At 37.0% G+C, this 17815-nt stretch overlaps 1 protein-coding gene across 3 annotated transcripts in view; it reads right to left on the bottom strand.

Moving 5' to 3' along the window:
* Positions 12947-17815, bottom strand: part of TMEM87B (transmembrane protein 87B) — a 64046-nt gene continuing 59177 nt past the window's right edge. For all 3 annotated transcript variants that reach the window (NM_032824.3, NM_001329914.2, XM_005263827.3), the window contains exon 19: positions 12947-16177. In NM_032824.3, coding sequence (NP_116213.1) covers positions 16118-16177 — 60 coding nt within the window. In that variant the 3' untranslated portion in view covers positions 12947-16117. The remainder of the gene's footprint in view (positions 16178-17815) is intronic.

Here is a 17815-nt window from a genome sequence, read left to right as displayed (position 1 = left end):
TTCATGTAGTTCAGAATGCTTTCTAATTTTTCTCATAATTTTTTCTTTGATCCATGGGTTACTTAGAACTGTGTGGTTTAATTTCCACATATTTGGTTTCTTTCAGATATCTTATTATTTATTTATAATTTAATTCCACTGTGGTCAGAGAAGACATTGTATGTTTTCTTTTTCTTTCTTTCTCTTTCTTTCTTTTTCTTTCTTTCTTTCCTTCTCTTTCTCTCTCTCTCTCTCTCTCTCTCTCTCTCTCTCCACTATATGTTTTCAGTCCTTCCTTCCTTCCTTCCTTTTCTTTTTCTTTCTTTTTGAGACAGAGTCTCACTCTGTCACTGAGTGTGCCTTTTTTAGATAGCATATAATTGAGTCTCACCTTTTTATCCAATGTGAAAAATCTTTGCCTTTTAAGCTGAGTGGTTTATTTAAATTTAATGTAATTATTGATATGTCTGAATTTAGGCCTACCATTTTATCATTTGTTTTCTATTTGTTTCCTCTGTTTGTTTGTTTATTTATTGAGACAGAATCTTGCTCTGTCTTCCAGGTTGCAGTGCAATTTTGGCTCACTGCAAAATTTTGCAATTTTGGCAAAATTGCAATTTTTGCAATTTTGGCTCACTGCAACCTCCGCCTCCTGGGTTCAAGTGATTCTCCTGCCTCAGCCTCCTGAGTAGCTGGGATTTCAGGCACCTGCCACCACACCTGGCTAATTTTTGTATCTTTAGTAGAGACGGGGTTTCACCATGTTGGCCAGGCTGGTCTCAAACTCCTGACCTCAGGTGATCCGCCCACCTCGGCCTCCCAAAGTGCTGGGATTACAGGCATGAGCCACTGTACTCAGCCAGTTCCCTCTGTTTTTTTATTACTCTGTTTTCCTTTTCTGCCTTCTTTTAGATTAATTGATTGAATGTTTAAAATTTCACTTCAATTCTTTTATTGACTTTTAACGTATACCTCTGCATTATTGTTATAATTGTTTAATGTCTGCCACTGGATCACAATATACATTCTTAATTTATCACAGTGTTTTTTAGTGTTAACAGTGTATACAGCATATAAAATGTAAGATTGCCAGATGTGGTGACTCATGTCTGTAATCCCAGCACTTTGGGAGGCCGAGGCAGGTGGATCGCTTGAGGCCAGGAGTTCTAGACCAGCCTGGGCAAGATAGTGAGACCCTGTCTCTACGAAAATAAAATGAAAAACATTAGCCAGGCATGGTGGCGTGTGCCTATAGTCCCAGCTACTTAGAAGGCTGAGGCAGGAGGATCACTTGAACCTGAACGGTTGAGAGTGCAGTGAGCCATGATAGAGCCACTACACTCCAGTCTGGGCAACAGAACAGAACAAGACCCTGTCTCAAAAAAAAAAAAAAAAAAAAAAGTAAATAACTAAATTAAATAAAATGTAAAAAGCTTTCAATGAAATGGGCCAATTACCAAGTCCTGTCATTTATGCTATGGTGGTCATATGCATATTATGTCCATATATGTTAAAAACCCCGTGGTGTAATATTATAATTTTTGCTTTAAATAGTCATATGTGTTTTTAACAAATTTTTAGCAAGAATATTCTTATATTTATAGATAGATTTACAATTTCTGGTGCTCTTCATTTTGTTTTGAAGACCCAAGTTCCCTTCTGATATCATTTTCCTTCAGCAGGAAAAACATTCATTAGCATACTTTGTATTGTAGGGTCACTAGCAACAAATTTTTAAAAATATGATTTATCTGAAAATGTCTTTATTTTGACTTTGTCCTTGAAGACTATTTTTGGTAGATATAGAATTCTGGGTTGACTTTTTTTACATTCGGCACTTTAACAATATCACTGACCTGTTCTCTAGCATCCATTCTTTCTGATGAGAGGTCAGATTCATTTCTGTCATTGTTCCTCTCTATGTGGTGTGCCATTTCTTCCCCTTCATTGTGGTTTCAATATTATATTTGTGTCTTTGGATTTCTGCAGGTAAAACATGCCTACATGTACTTTTCTGCATATTCTGGTTGGAGTGCACTTAGCTTCTTGAATCTATAAATTTGTGTCTTTTACCAAATTTAGGGAGTTTGGGCCATTATTTAACCCAGTAATTTTTCTCCTTTATTCTCTCTTTCCTGTCCCTTTAGAATTAGTTTAGCGTTAGAACTCTTAATGATTGTCCCACAAGTCCACAAGGCACTGTTCTTTCTTTTTTCTTTCTTTTTTTTTTTTTTTTTGAGATGGAGTCTCGCTCATCTCGGCTCACTGCAAGCTCCGCCTCCCAAGTTCACGCCATTCTCCTGCCTCAGCCTCCGGAGTAGCTGGGACTACAGGCGCCCACCACCACGCCCGGCTAATTTTTTTGTAATTTTAGTAGAGACGGGGTTTCACCGTGTTAGCCGGGATGGTCTCCATCTCCTTACCTTGTGATCCACCTGCCTCGGCCTCCCAAAGTGCTGGGATTACAGGCGTGAGCCACCGCACCCGGCTCTTTTTTCTTTTTCTTCGTGTATTTAAGGTTGAATATTTTCTATTCTATGAACTTCAAGTTCATTGACTCTTCTGTCACCTCAATCCGTCACTAAACACATCCAGTGAATTTTTTATTATATAAGTTGGTCTCATATTTCCATTTTTTGTTATTGTTTTTGTTTTTTTTTAAATATTGTTTTCTATTGAGATTTTCTATTTGGTTATTTATTATAAACTTTGTCTTCCCCTTTAGCTCTTTGGGCATAGTTATAACTGCAGTTTTAAAATCCTTTTTTTGGTCATTTACCATCTGGTATGCTCTGAGGCTCAACAGCTATTGCTTGTCTTCTGAGTAAAGGTCACTTTTTCTGGTTTACTAGTATGCCTAGTTATTTGGGATTGTATCCAGGGATTGTTAATGATATGTTGTAGATGTTCCTTATTCTGTTGTGTTACCCTGAATATAACTTTTTAAAATTGAGGTATAATTCATTTACCACAAAATTCACCACGTTATAGAGTATGACAGAGTGGCTTTTTAGTATGTTCACAAAGTTGTGCAATCATCACAAGTATCTAATTTAAGAACATTTTCATCATTCAAAAAAGGTATCCTATGCCCATTAGCAGTCATTCCTCATTCTTTTATCCCTTTGGCACTAGGAAACCACTAATCTACTTTCTGTCTTTATGAATTTGCCTATTCTGGGCATTTTGTAAAAACAGAATAATAAAATATGGGGCTTTTGTGAGTGCTTTTCTTTCACTTAACATGCTTCAAGAATCATCTATGTTGTCACATTTAACAGTACTTCATTGACTTTTATGGCTGAATAATATTCAGTTGTATGGATATATCATATTTGGGTTATCCATTCATCAACTGATGAAAATTTGGTTTGTTTACAATTTGTGGCTATTATGGCGAATCCTACAATGAGCATTTGTGTACAAATTTTTATGTAGACATGTTTTCATTTCTGTTAGGTATATACCTAGGAGTGGTATTGCTGGGTCATATGGTAACTCTTTAATCATTTGATTAACTGCCAGGTTGTTTTCCAAAGGGGCTGTACCATTTTACTTCCCACCAGCAGTTTAGAAGAGTTCCAGTTTCTCCATATTCTCATGAACACTGTTATTTTCCTTTTTTGTTGTTTCTATTATGACAGCGATCTTAGTGGGTGTAAAGTGGTATCTTATTAAGGTTGTGATTTTCATTTTCTTGATTAGTAATGATTAGAGCATCTTTTTATGTGCTTATTGGCCTGTCGTATATCTTCCTAAAATGTGTATTCAGAACCTTTGCCATGTTTTGGTTGGATTATTTGTCCTTTTATTATTGAGTTGAAGGAGTTCTTTATACAGTCTAGATACAAGTCCCTGATCAGATATATGACTTGCAAATAGTTTCTCCCATTCTGTGGGTTGATTTTCATTTTTTGATAGTGTCCTCTGAAGCACAAAAGTTCTTAATTTTGATGAAGTCCAATCTATCTGTTTCTTTCTTTTGTTGCTTACGCTTTTGGCGTGAACTCTAAAAATAGTTTGTCAAATATAAGGTCATGAAGATTTAGCCGTATGTTTTCTTCTTAGAGATTTATGGATCTAGCTCTTAAATTTATGTCTTTGGTCCATTTTGAGTTAATTTTTGTATATATTCTCAGGTAGGAGTCCAACTTCATTCTTTTGCATGTGGCTATGCAGTTGTCCCAGCACTATTTGTTAAAGAGACTGTTCTTTCTCCATTGAATGGTCTTGGCACTCTTGCTGAAAGTCATCTGACCATAGATGTATGGGTTTATTTCTAGACTCTGAATTCTATTCCATTGATCTATATACTATCCTTTTGCAGTTACTTAACTGTCTTGATTATAGTTGCTTTAAAGTAAGTTTTGAGATGTGTGAGTCCTCCTCTTAGTTCTTATTCAACATTATTTTGGCTATTCTGGGTCCCTTGAAATTGCATATGAATTTTAAAATCAGCTTCTCAATTTCTACAAAGAAGTTGGCAGGGATTCTGGTAAGGATTGCATTATCAGAATCTAGGTCAATTTGGGGAAGACTGCTATCTTAACAATGTTAAGTCTTCTGTGAACATGGAATTTGTTCAATTCATTTATAGCTTATTTAATTTTTTCAACAATATTTTACGGTTTTTAGTGTATAAGTTTTGCACTTCCTTTGTCAGATTCATTCCTAAGTATTTTATTTTATTTTATGTATTTTAGAGATAGGGTCTCACTCTGTTGCCCAGGCTGGAGTGCACTGGTGTGATCACAGCTCACTGCAACCTCCAACTCCTGGGCTGAAGTGGTCCTCCTGCCCTAGCCTCCTGAATAGGTAGGACCAAAAATGTCCATCATCATGCCTGGTTAATCTTTTTTTTTTTTTTTTGAGACACAGTCTTTGTCACCCAAGCTGGAGTGCAGTGACATGATCTTGGCTCACTGCAGCCTCTGCTTCCAGCATTCAAGTGATTCTCCTGCCTCAGCCTCCTGAGTAGCTGGGATTACAGGCGCCCACCACCATGCCCAGCTATTTTTTATATTTTTAGTAGAGACAGGTTTTCGCCATGTTGGCCAGGCTGGTCTCAAACTCCTTACCTCAAGTGATCTGCCCGCCTTGGCTTCCCAAAATGCCGAGTAATTCTTTTAATCTTTAGTAGGGTCTCCCTATATTGTCCAGGCTGATTCTGAACTCCTGGCCTCAAGCGATCCTTCTGCCTCAGCCTCCCAAAGTGTTAGGATTACAGGCATGAGCCACTGTATTTTGTTCTTTTTGATGCTATTGTAAATGGGTTTCGTACTTTCATTTTTGGATTATTCATTGCAAGCTTAAGAAATATGATTGATTTTCATATGTCAATCTTGTATCCTGAAACCTTACAGAACTCATTGTTGTTCTAATAGTTTTTTAGTGGATTCCTTAGAGATTTTTATATACAAGATCATTAAATCTGCAAATAGAGATATTTTTATTTTTCCATTTCAATAACTTTTATTTCCCTTTCTCTCTCTCTTTCTTTCTTTCTTTTCTGATTTCCCTGGCTAGAAGCTCCAATACAATGTTGAACAGAAGTGGTGAGAGAGGACATTCCTGTCTTTTCCAGATCTTAGGGGGTGTCTTAGTCTGTTCGGCCTGTTATAACAAAATATCTTGGACTGGGTAACTTATTAACAACACAAATTTATTGCTCACAGCTCTGGGGGCTAGGAAGTCCAAGATCAAGGTGCCAGTAGATTCAATGTCTGGTAAGAGTTTGGTCTGTGCCTCATAGATGGCAACTTCTTATTGAATCCTCACATGGCAGAAGGGGCAAACAAGCTCTCTTGGGCCTCTTTGATAAGGGCAGTAATCAAATTCATGAGGATGATGCCATCATGACATAATCACTTTCTATAGGTTGCACCTCTTTTTATTTTTAATTATACTTTAAGTTCTTGGATACATGTGCAGAACGTGCAGGTTTGTTACATAGGTAGGTCGCACCTCTTAATACTATTCCACTGGGGATTAGGTTTCAACATACGAACTTGTGGGGGACACAAACATTCAGACCATAACTGGGGGAAAGCTTCTAGTCTTTTGCCATTTAGTATGACGTTAACTATGGGTTTTTTTCTGTAGGTACCCTTTGTCATGTTGAGATTTCACTCTGCCTCTAGTTTGTTGGTTTTTTTTTTTATTATGAAAGGGTATTTCATTTTGGCAAATGCTTTTTCTACAACTATTGAGATACTCATAGCATTTTTGAGTTTCTGTCCTATTCATATGATGTATTACATTAATTTTCAGGTGTTAAACCATCTTTGCATTCCCAGGATAAATCCTGCTTGGTCCTGGTGTATAATTCTTTTCATATGTTGCTGGATTTGGTTTGCTAGTATTTTGTTGAGAACATTTGCTTCCATATTCATGAAAGATATTGGTCTGTAGTTTTCTCATGTTGTCTTTGGTCAGTTTGAGCATCAGGGTAATTCTGACCTCATAAAATGTGATGGGAAGTGCCTTCTTCTATTTTTGGGAAGAATTCATGAAGAATTGGCACTAATCATTCTTCTTTTTCTTCTCTTTCTCTTCCTTCCTTCCTTCCTTCCTTTCCTTCTCCTCCTTCTCTTCCGTCTTTTCCGTCTCCCTCCTCCACCCTCCCTCCTCCTCCCTCCTTCCTCTTCCTCCTCCTTCTCCTCTTCTTCTTCTCCCTCTTTCTCCCTTCTCCTTCTCCTCCCTTCTCCTTCTTTTTGAGACAGGGTCTCACTCTGTTGCCCAGGCAGGAGTGCAGTAGTGTGATCATGGCTCACTGCAGCCTTGACCTCCTGGGCTCAAGCAATCTTCCTGTCTCAGCCTCCTCAGTAGCTGGGACTACAGGTGTACACCACCATGCCTGGCTAATTTTTTAATTTTTTTTTTTGTAGAGAAGGGATTTCGCCATGTTGCCCAGGCTGGTCTCGAACTCCTGAGCTCAAGTGATGCACTTGCCTTGGCCTCCCAAAGTGCTAGGATTGCAGGCATAAGCCACTGCACCCAGGCTAATTCTTCTTTAAATGTTTAGTAGAGTTCAATGGTGAAGTCATCTGGGCCTGGACTTTTCTGTGTAGGTAGTTTTTACAAATTACTAATTGAATCTTATCACTTACTATGAGTCTATTCAGATTGCCTATTTATTCTTGAGTCAGTTTTGGTAGTTTTTATCTTCCAGGAATTTGTCCATTTCATGTAAGTTGATTTACTGACAAAATGTTATTCATTATATTCACATATTCCCTCTCCTTTTTTGCTCTTTGTTTTCTGTATGTCTTATCTTCTTTGTTCCTCCACTGCTGTCTCCTGTTTTGTTCAAAAAATTTAGTAGTTTACCATTTTAATTCCTTTCCCATTTCTTTTAGTACATTTTTTAAAAGTTATTTTCTTAGTGTTGCCTTGGGGTCTACCAATAATGCCTTATTTTATTTATTTATTTATTTATTTTTTTGAGACAGAGTCTCACTCTGTTGCCCAGGCTGGAGTGCCATGGCACAATGGCGGCTCACTGCAACCTCTGCCTCCTGGATTCAAGCAATTCTCCTGCCTCAGCTTCCTGAGTAGCTGGGGTTACAGGCGCGTGCCACCACGCCCGGCTAATTTTTGTATTTTTAGTAGAGACGGGGTTTCACCATGTTGGTCAGGCTGGCCTCAAACTCCTGACCTCGTGATCCACCCACCTCGGCCTCCCAAAGTGCTGGGATTACAGGCGTGAGCCACCGCACCTGGCCAATAATACCTTAATTTATAAGATTTTAGTTCTGAGTAAAACCAATTTTAATAGTATGCAAAACACTTGCTCCTGTATGGCTTCTCTCCTCCTCTCCTTTATGCTGCTATTGTCACGAGTTGTATTTTTACACATTATATGCCCATCAACTTAGATTTATCAATAATACATGTTTCTTTTAAATATACTAGGAGAAAAAAAGAGTTACAAACAAAAATACATTTATACTGTCTTTTATATTTGGCTAGTTATCTTTACTGGTACTGTTTTATTTCTTCAAATGTATTCAAATTACTGTTTAGTGTTCTTTAATTTCAGCCCAAAGTACTTACTTTAGTTTTGTTTTTTTTGTTTGTTTGTTTGTTTTTGAGATGGAGTTTTGCTCTTGTTGCCAGCTGGAGTGCAATAGCACTGTCTCAGCTCATTGCAACTTCTGCCTCCTCAGTTCAAGCGATTCTTCTGCCTCAACCTCCTGAGTAGCTGGGATCACAGTTGCTCACCACCACGCCTGGCTACTTTTTGTATTTGTAGTGGCGACGGGGTTTCACCATGTTGCCCAGGCTGGTCTCGAACTCCTGACCTCAGGTGATCTACCCGCCTCAGCCTCCCAAAGTACTGGGATTACAGACGTGAGCCACCGCACCTGGCCTACTTTAGTATTTCTTGCATGGCAAAACTACTAACAACAAATTCAGTTTTTATCTCAACTGTCTGTATTTCTATTCATGTTGAATGGATAGTTTGCTTGGATATAGAATTCTTGACTGACGGTTTTTCTTTCAGTACTTTAAATATATCATCCCATTGCCTTCTTACCACCATAGTTTCTGAGGGGGAAAAATTAGTTGTTAATGTTACAGAGGATTTTTACTAGGCAATGAGTCACTTCTCTCTTTCAAAACTCCATCTTTGGTTCTGGTTTTCCATCATTTGATTATGATGTTTCAGTACAGATCTCTTTGAGTTTATCTTATTTGGAGTTTGCTAATCTTTCTGCTTAGGTAGACTGTTTTTTGTCAAGTTTGAAAAGTTTTCAACCACTATTTATTCAAGTATTTTTCTTCCTCTCTCTTCTTCTTCTCGTACTCTCACCGTGTGTGTCTGTATGCTTGAGGTTGTTCCACAGGTCTCTGAGATTCTGTTAATTTTTCTTCATTCTATCTTCTTTTTGTTCCTCACACTGAATAATCTCAATTGACCTATATTCAGATTCACTGATTTTCTTCTACCTGCTCAGATCTGCTCTTGAGCACCCTCTAATAAATGTTTTGTCTCAGTTATTGTACTTTTCAATATAAGAATTTTCATTTGGTTCATTTTTATCATTGCTATCTCTATTGACATTATTTGGTCAAACATCATTCTCATACTTTTGCATTTATACTTTTTTAGCTCATTGAATACTTACAAAACAGCTTACAGTTTTTGTCTAGTAAGTCAAACATCTGGTCTTTCTCAGGAACATTTTGTTTTGATGCTCTTTTTTTTCTTGTGAGAGATACACTGTCATTTCTTTGCTTATGTCATAATTTTTTGGTAAATACTAGACATTTTAAATAATATAATGTGGTAACTCTGAAAACCAGTTCCTTCCCCTTCAATGGTTTGCTGTTGTTACTACTTGTTGTAGTAGTTGTTTAGTGAGTTCTCTAAACTAATTCCGTAAAGTCTGTATATTTTGTGATATGTGGTCACTGAAGTCTCTACTCAGTTATGTAATGGTTAGACAATTATTGGACAGAGACTTTCTTAACCTCTCGGAACCAGTAAATCTCCCAGTCTTTGCCGAGGTGCTTGTGTGTATGGTGGGGCACACCTTCAGCACTCATTCAGGCAGTTTACAACTAACTCTGCCTTAGCCTTCACTTCTTGTTTGTGGTCTTTGCTGAGCATGCAGAGCCCTATGCATGCATGTGACCTTTTAGATTCCTGTAAGTATGTTGAAGGTTTTTCAAAGGCCTTATGGTCATCTCATTCTTTAGACTTTCCTTTTAAGGTTTTTGGTCAGTCTGTTGTTTGCTTTGAATGTTATTTTTTGCTTTAGGCAGCTGTGACATTAAAAAACATGCCTGTGAATATTTTTAATAAGTATCCCCTGGAAAGAGGCATTTAGCACTGGGAAAGCTGTGACTCAGGTCAAATAAAGACAAGCCTTTCCAGCAGACTCCACTGAACCCCAAGAAAATCTCCACTTATCAAATGAAGAAACAGAGAACTGGAATTATGACCATGTAGAAACAAGAATTTGGAAGCTGAAAAGACAATGAAGTCATATGAAATGACGTAGCAAGTGGTCACCAAAGTATATAAAATGTATTTCAAGTTTTGATGCCCAGTCCAACCCTTCTGTGGCATCTCTTTCCCCCTGACAATAAGGACCAGAGGTGAGAAAAACAAACTAGGAGGCAGTCTTCAACCCTGGTCTGAGGGAACTGTAGCCAGTGACACTTTCCTGGTCCTCCATTTCCTCATTTGTAAGATGATCTTAGAGGCTCTTTCCAGCTTTAAAGTTTTAAAATATACCAAAATAACTGTTTTTCCAGGGCAGTGCTGTGTGAATTATTTTTAAGTTTTTTTCTTCATCCCCAAATTTGTTTAGTGGCATTTGGTAAGTAAATTTATAAAATCTGTAAAGGGAAGAATTAGAGAAAAGAAAAAAAGATTAGAACTCTTCAAGAGACATTACTTTGGCACCACCTGCTGGATAGCTTTCACATTTTTTCCTGTGCATAAACTTCCATTGCAGCTTCTTGTTTTTTCAAAATGATTTTAAGGAAATACTGTCAAAATTATTTACATCTGAAATCAGATATAAATCAGGTCAGCCTCTGACCAGATGTAAATATCAGGTCACCTCTGTTAATGTAGCTGTACATTCCCTATCACTTAAGGGGCATAAAACTTGCTCTGGGTAACTTCATCTTAATACAAGTGAATCAATCCTGGAATGTGTTTGAATTTCATATGCCATTTGTTTCAATTGAGTCTCAGTCACCCCTCAATCATTGCTGTACCTTTCACATTAACCTTAGCTGCCTCCTGAAGGCTATGCACCAGGCACTTTAGATACATTGTCTTACTTAACCTTCTCTAACAAGCAAACAGCACTTTGTTAACCGAAACTCCTCTCTCCTCAGGACTTCGAGGACAACCCTTCTAGGATGATTCCCACCAGTATTATACCAGCCTTGCCACCTGCCAGGATGGTAAACTATCAAATTATTTAACCTCTCTCTCAGTTTTCTAATCTATGAACCAAGGGAACTAATACTTCATTGGCTACTGTGAGAATACAGTGGTTACCAAAGCCTGGCACTCTGCAAGTGCTCCCAAGTCTGCCAAAATGGTCATCAGTCTTATGACAACAGCCCTTCCTTTCCCTCTGGGACTATCCATCTTGTCCCTCTCACTCCTCACATGTCAAAGGTGGGAGAATGTCCATGAAGAAAATTCTCCATGTCCCATCTACTTACAGCAAGATGGATTTTTTAAATTAATTAAGATTAAGCTGTGAACCAAGACACACTTTTCTAGATTTTCTGATACATAGTCTAAGGCACTATTATTATTATTATTATTATTATTATTATTATTATTATTGAGAGTCTCGCTCTGTCGCCCAGGCTGGAGTGCAGTGGCACAATCTCGGCTCACTGCAAGCTCCGCCTCCCAGATTCACGCCATTCTCCTGCCTTAGCCTCCCGAGTAGCTGGGACTACAGGTGCCTGCCACCATGCCCAGCTAATTTTTTTCTATCTTTAGTAGAGATGCGGTTTCACTGTGTTAGCCAGAATGGTATCGATCTCCTGACCTCGTGACCCACCCATCTCGGCCTCCCAAAGTGCTGGGATTACAGGTGTGAGCCACTGCGCCTGGCCAAGGCACTATTATTTTTACATATTTATGTTGAATATGTTTCTTAGAAAATTAGGGGTAAAAATTAGGCCCTAGGGTATGGTGGGTCCGCAAGATGGAAATAAACCCCGGGTGTCTGAGGGACATGTGGAGGAGGGTGGCCCTTCCCACCTCTATACCTACTGAAGAATTGTCACATGAGCAAGAAATAAACTTTTTGTCTTAAGTTTCTGAAAGGCTAAAATCAAGTTGTGACCACAGCCTGGCTGAGCCTCAACACTAACCATGTATGCCACCCCAGTGCTTTTCCACTCAATCCTTTCTCTACTTTTTTTTTTTTTTTTTTTTTGAGACGGAGTCTCGCTCTGTCGCCCAGGCTGGAGTGCAGTGGCCCAATCTCAGCTCACTGCAAGCTCTGCCTCCCGGGTTCACGCCATTCTCCTGCCTCAGCCTCCCGAGTAGCTGGGACTACAGGCGCCCGCCACCACGCCCGGCTAATTTTTTGTATTTTTTTTTTAGTAGAGACAGGGTTTCACCATGTTGGCCAGGATGGTCTCGATCTCCTGACCTTGTGATCCACCCACCTTGGCCTCCCAAAGTGCTGGGATTACAGGCGTGAGCCACTACGCCCGGCCTTTTTTTTTTTAAATTATCTTTATTTCAAAATAATAATTAATTATGTAATTATTTATGTAATTAAGAATTATGTAATTACTTAATTCTGTAACTTTACAGAAAAGTTGGAAGATAGAATGCATTTTTTCTGAACCATGAGAGTAAGTTGCTCTACCTTATTTTTACATAGATAAGCATTCACATATGTGCCACTGCATCACAGTTCTTATAAGTATTTTTATTATAAATTCTTCATAATTTAATGGCTATACAATATCTCATAAAGTAGCTGGTTAAACCATAATTCACTTAACTATGATATTGTTTGTCTCTAATTTTATTTCTACTTTAATATTATAATAAACACTTTTGTGGAGAAACTTTATTCTGTATTTTGAATCATTTTTTAAAATATCACCAGAATTGACATTATTCAAAGGTTATAAACACATTGTTGAACTTTTCACAAAAAAGGAAATCAACTATATTACCATCATTAATAAGTGTGCTCATTTCATCAGACTTTGAAAGCAAAAGGATTTTACAAATATACCATAGTACAAACTTATGTTAATTTGATTTTTTAAACTATCCCCTATCTTTTGTTTTGCATTTCTTTACTACTACTGAGGTTGAGCACTTTTCCATGTTTGATTAGCTGTGCCTCCTGTTTTAAGAATTTTATGTCCTGCCATCTATTGGAGTCTATATATGTCTATATGTCCTACAGATTTATATAATCTAGCACCAATAAATACTATCAAGAATCAATCATTCAAATTCAGAGCATTTTTATTAAAAGAACAAAATATTAAGGCACAAAATACATCAATTTTTCAAATGAAAACCCTTCAAACGGTTATGTCCTACATTCAACGAAACTTCTTCCAAATTACGGAATAATTTAACTTTTTAAAATAGAAAAATACAAGTTCTTAAATGCCTAAAATTTCTCCCCAAATAAATGTTTTCTTAGTTTTAATGAAGTCTCTTCATGCAGTACTGAGCTCCAATATTATAATGTACACTTCCTTAAAAATCTAGTTTTGCCACTTATATACATTCAATATGTTTAACCAGTATATTAACCAGTATATTAACCAATATGTTAAACTTCTTTTAAGTATAAGGCTTGGTATTTTGTATTGCTTATTGCATGCTTTGATCATACAAAGACACAAGTACCAGAACTAGTGATTATAAATCTAGCATAGCATCTGTCAACTTTAGTCATGTACAGCCTAGTGCAACAGACTCGAACTTTTTTTTAAAAAAAGGATACATAACTCAAAATGTATATGTACATTTTTTATACTTTCAGCTTGACAGTATAGTAATGTAAACATTGTACTGTAATACAAGGGGAAAAGGTGGTATTTTCTACAGGATGTGTAAGTTAAAATATTATTTTCTTTACAAGAAAAATATGGGAACATTCTATCATCTCTCAGGCTTAAAAAATTCACATATTCACATATTTTTCCTTATTTTTACAATAAAATTAATTGCTATCTAAAGCAGATATTTAAATACTAATCTAAATCAAATCATGAAAATTCCCTTTTAAGCAAATTTCACACATCGTATGAATGAATGGCATAACCAGAACACTTAAGCATTTTGCCTAGAAAAACATCAAACCAGACCCGTATCCTCACTAACAGTGAGACCCACCCTGATGGGGGCATGCTAAAAGTAAACTGATTTGAGTGCCTCAGAGGCCCTGATGGCCAGTTTCAGGAAACTGTGCAGAAACAGGGATGATGAGCTGCTCAGTAGCCCTAGGTATAACTTCTCCTGGTGTCCTTCCTGTGAACTACAGCTATGGCACTAGAGCACCCCTCTTGCGTATGTAAGGGGCCTAAGAAGACCCTTCATAGAAATACTCGATCCAGGTCATCAGTCATCAAGAGATGGCACAAATATTACTGAAGGTGACAGACAGCACATGCCCTTCTAGTAACAGTATTTGTAATGAGGTTACTAGGAGGGAATTCTGCTTTCTCTGGATGGAAGAAAAGTTTGCACTGCAGCCTGTAGCTGAGCTACAGGGTAGCATCATTTATCCTACCAGCTGTAGAAAGACATGTTTTGGTAAACATTACTGAGATTCTGTCAGAGACAGTTTCCCTTTATTAACATACTCACCATTAACTCCACACTCCCACTCTACCAGATTTGCAGCTCCTACTGCCTGCAAGCCCAATATTCCACATTTTAAAATTCAACTAGAGCCACATAATGAGTAGGGGGTCAATCTGTCTCAAAACTTGGGGAATGGGGTATTAGATAAAAATGTTACTGGGCTAAGGGGAGAATACAACAGAACATAAATGCTGGGAATTATAGTGGGTGGGAACCCATTACTGCAGCAGAAACTGAAATAAGAAATGGAATTCACAATTGTTAAACTACTTTTTTTTTTTCTCCCTAGGAAGGATATCCCAAAGCAAGGGCATCTTGAAAAGCATGATTTTCTCGGTAATGTTTGCCAACACTGTTCACTTTCCACATGGTCACGACTGAAAACACATTTACCAATACCTTTCAAGCGATATGACTACCAGAAATAGATCTTCTTTACTACCCTCTCTGAAATGAGTAAACAAGAAATAAATTCAGAAGGTAGGCTTTTGAAAGAAAAAGAAAAAAAATTGCTTGCGGCTTCACAGTGAAAAAAATTGGAGTGTTTGTGCCGGTTAAGATTTTAATGTTTTCTTAATCAAAATTCTCTGAAGTCATTCTCAATTTACAAGGTTAGAACTCCTTCAAAGAAAAGACATACAAGACTCTAGCTTTAATTATTATTCTAAATGTCCACTAGCCCTGTATCTTTGGTCATGAAAGCAGCAAAACATTCACATTTTCATCATACTACATTCAATTGCCTTTCAAGTTTAGAACATTCTACATTTTAAAAAAAGACATTAAAGCAAAAGATTTCATATTACACATTACAAATATATGATGTAACGAAATAAGGTATAAAACATGGTTGAAGCTTAAGAAATTAATTATAAAATCAATAGTGATGTAGCATGCAACTAAATGTATGTTTTTATTATGAAATGTAATATGCCAAGATTATGTAAAAGATACAGTTCTAATTTCCACAAAGTTCACCAGTAATGGGTCTCCCAGCTTGCCAGTTAGGAAGTGCTCTGGGGGAGCCACGTGGCCACCACCCACCCCAGCACACTCAGCAGCATCGCATGTACACATGGCCTGAGTGAGGGACAATGAGGGTAATTCTTTGGTAGTGACCCTCAAGACATCTCTCTCTGTGCACTTGTGTTCCCCTGAGCTCAGAGAAGACCTAACTCCATGATTTGATGTGCATGATGAGACTCAAACAAGGGCTTTGTATAGATTTTTTAAAAAGGGTGGGTTGGGGGGGAGCGGAAAAAACCTATAAATATGCCTATATTCAAACATTAACTGTTTTACTTAATATCAAATCACTTCAGTACAAATGTCAAAGAGAAGTATTATTGCATCTAGTAAACCTAAGACACAGAGACACGGATATACTATACTCCAGAAAATCACAATATCTACCTCAAAGGTGACTAGAAGAAAGACCAAGGGTATTTATTAAAAAACATTTTTCTTTAATCTGGAATTGTCATATGTTCCAGAGAAAAGAGGGAGAACCCAAACCCACAGGCCTGCCACCTATCAGCTAAGAGGCATCTGTGCAGATCTTTATCATAATACTTTCCTCAGGTTATTTCCAAATCCAATTTAATGGATATTCAACTGACACTCAAGAGTCAGCTTTAAAAGGACTATAGAACCTCCTACCATCTGAATTCTTCATTTTGATACACAGACTTCCAAGATAACACAATAAAAATTTTTAGGCAATATCAAATCAAAGCTCACTTTCAGTCTTGATGAAGGATAGTCCTTCAGGCTTAACTACATTTCTTATACGGGTTCCAATCACATTATCTTTTCTGAAGAGAACATTTTTTCAGCCATTTCAGATCTGGTCATGATTTCCTGAAGAAAAAAAAAGAAGATATGTATCAACATGTTGATACTACTTCCAGAACCCTAACAAAAATTTTCTAATCTTTCAACAGCCACATTTAGGGAAACTAAATATATTCCATAATATACATGGAAATATTACATACAGAAAATAAAAGGCCAAGTACAGTGACTCATGCCTGTAATCTCAGCACTTTGGGAGGCCGAGGCGGGAAGGCTGCTTGACGCTAGGAGTTCGAGACCGGCCTGGGCAACATAGAGAGACCTCATCCTTATAAAAAATTTAAAAATTAAAAAATAACCATATAATCCATACTCTCCAATAATGTATAGTCAGTTATCTGCTGAGAAGTTCAGAAAACTTCAACTTCCTGCTAGCTAGAAAACATGTCAAGTTCAGAATCTCCAATGAGAGGCAGGAATAGAGCTAAAATGGATTTCTTAGGCCTAGCTCATCTAGAGATTTGCCTCACTTTACTAAATTAATGTATTATTGAAATTACAAATGAATTATTTACTAAAACTTTAAATACAGAAAGATGTAGCATAAAATTCCTTTTAAAGGGGCATTTAAAGTACTTTTAATCTACATGCTACATCTTTCTGTAGAGTTATGAATCTTTCTGTAATGCTACCTCTTTCTGTAGAGTTATGAATCTTTCTGTAATGCTACATCTTTCTGTAGAGTTATGAATCTTTCTGTAATGCTACATCTTTCTGTAGTTATGAATCTTTCTGTAATGCTACATCTTTCTGTAGAGTTATGAATCTTTCTGTAATGCTACATCTTTCTGTAGAGTTATGAATCTTTCTGTAATGCTACATCTTTCTGTAGAGTTATGAATCTTTCTGTAATGCTACCTCTTTCTGTAGAGTTATGAATCTTTCTGTAATGCTACCTCTTTCTGTAGAGTTATGAATCTTTCTGTAATGCTACCTCTTTCTGTAGAGTTATGAATCTTTCTGTAATGCTACCTCTTTCTGTAGAGTTATGAATCTTTCTGTAATGCTACCTCTTTCTGTAGAGTTATGAATCTTTCTGTAATGCTACCTCTTTCTGTAGAGTTATGAATCTTTCTGTAATGCTACCTCTTTCTGTAGAGTTATGAATCTTCCTGTAATGCTACATCTTTCTGTAGAGTTATGAATCTTTCTGTAATGCTACCTCTTTCTGTAGAGTTATGAATCTTTCTGTAATGCTACCTCTTTCTGTAGAGTTATGAATCTTTCTGTAATGCTACATCTTTCTGTAGAGTTATGAATCTTTCTGTAATGCTACATCTTTCTGTAGAGTTATGAATCTTTCTGTAATGCTACCTCTTTCTGTAGAGTTATGAATCTTTCTGTAATGCTACCTCTTTCTGTAGAGTTATGAATCTTTCTGTAATGCTACCTCTTTCTGTAGAGTTATGAATCTTTCTGTAATGCTACATCTTTCTGTAGAGTTATGAATCTTTCTGTAATGCTACCTCTTTCTGTAGAGTTATGAATCTTTCTGTAATGCTACCTCTTTCTGTAGAGTTATGAATCTTTCTGTAATGCTACATCTTTCTGTAGAGTTATGAATCTTTCTGTAATGCTACATCTTTCTGTAGAGTTATGAATCTTTCTGTAATGCTACATCTTTCTGTAGAGTTATGAATCTTT

Source organism: Homo sapiens, chromosome 2, assembly GCF_000001405.40.
Source record: "Homo sapiens chromosome 2, GRCh38.p14 Primary Assembly".
Taxonomy (NCBI): domain Eukaryota; kingdom Metazoa; phylum Chordata; class Mammalia; order Primates; family Hominidae; genus Homo; species Homo sapiens.
Note: the sequence above shows the minus strand (reverse complement) of the source record. Positions and strands in the feature narration are given on the sequence as shown.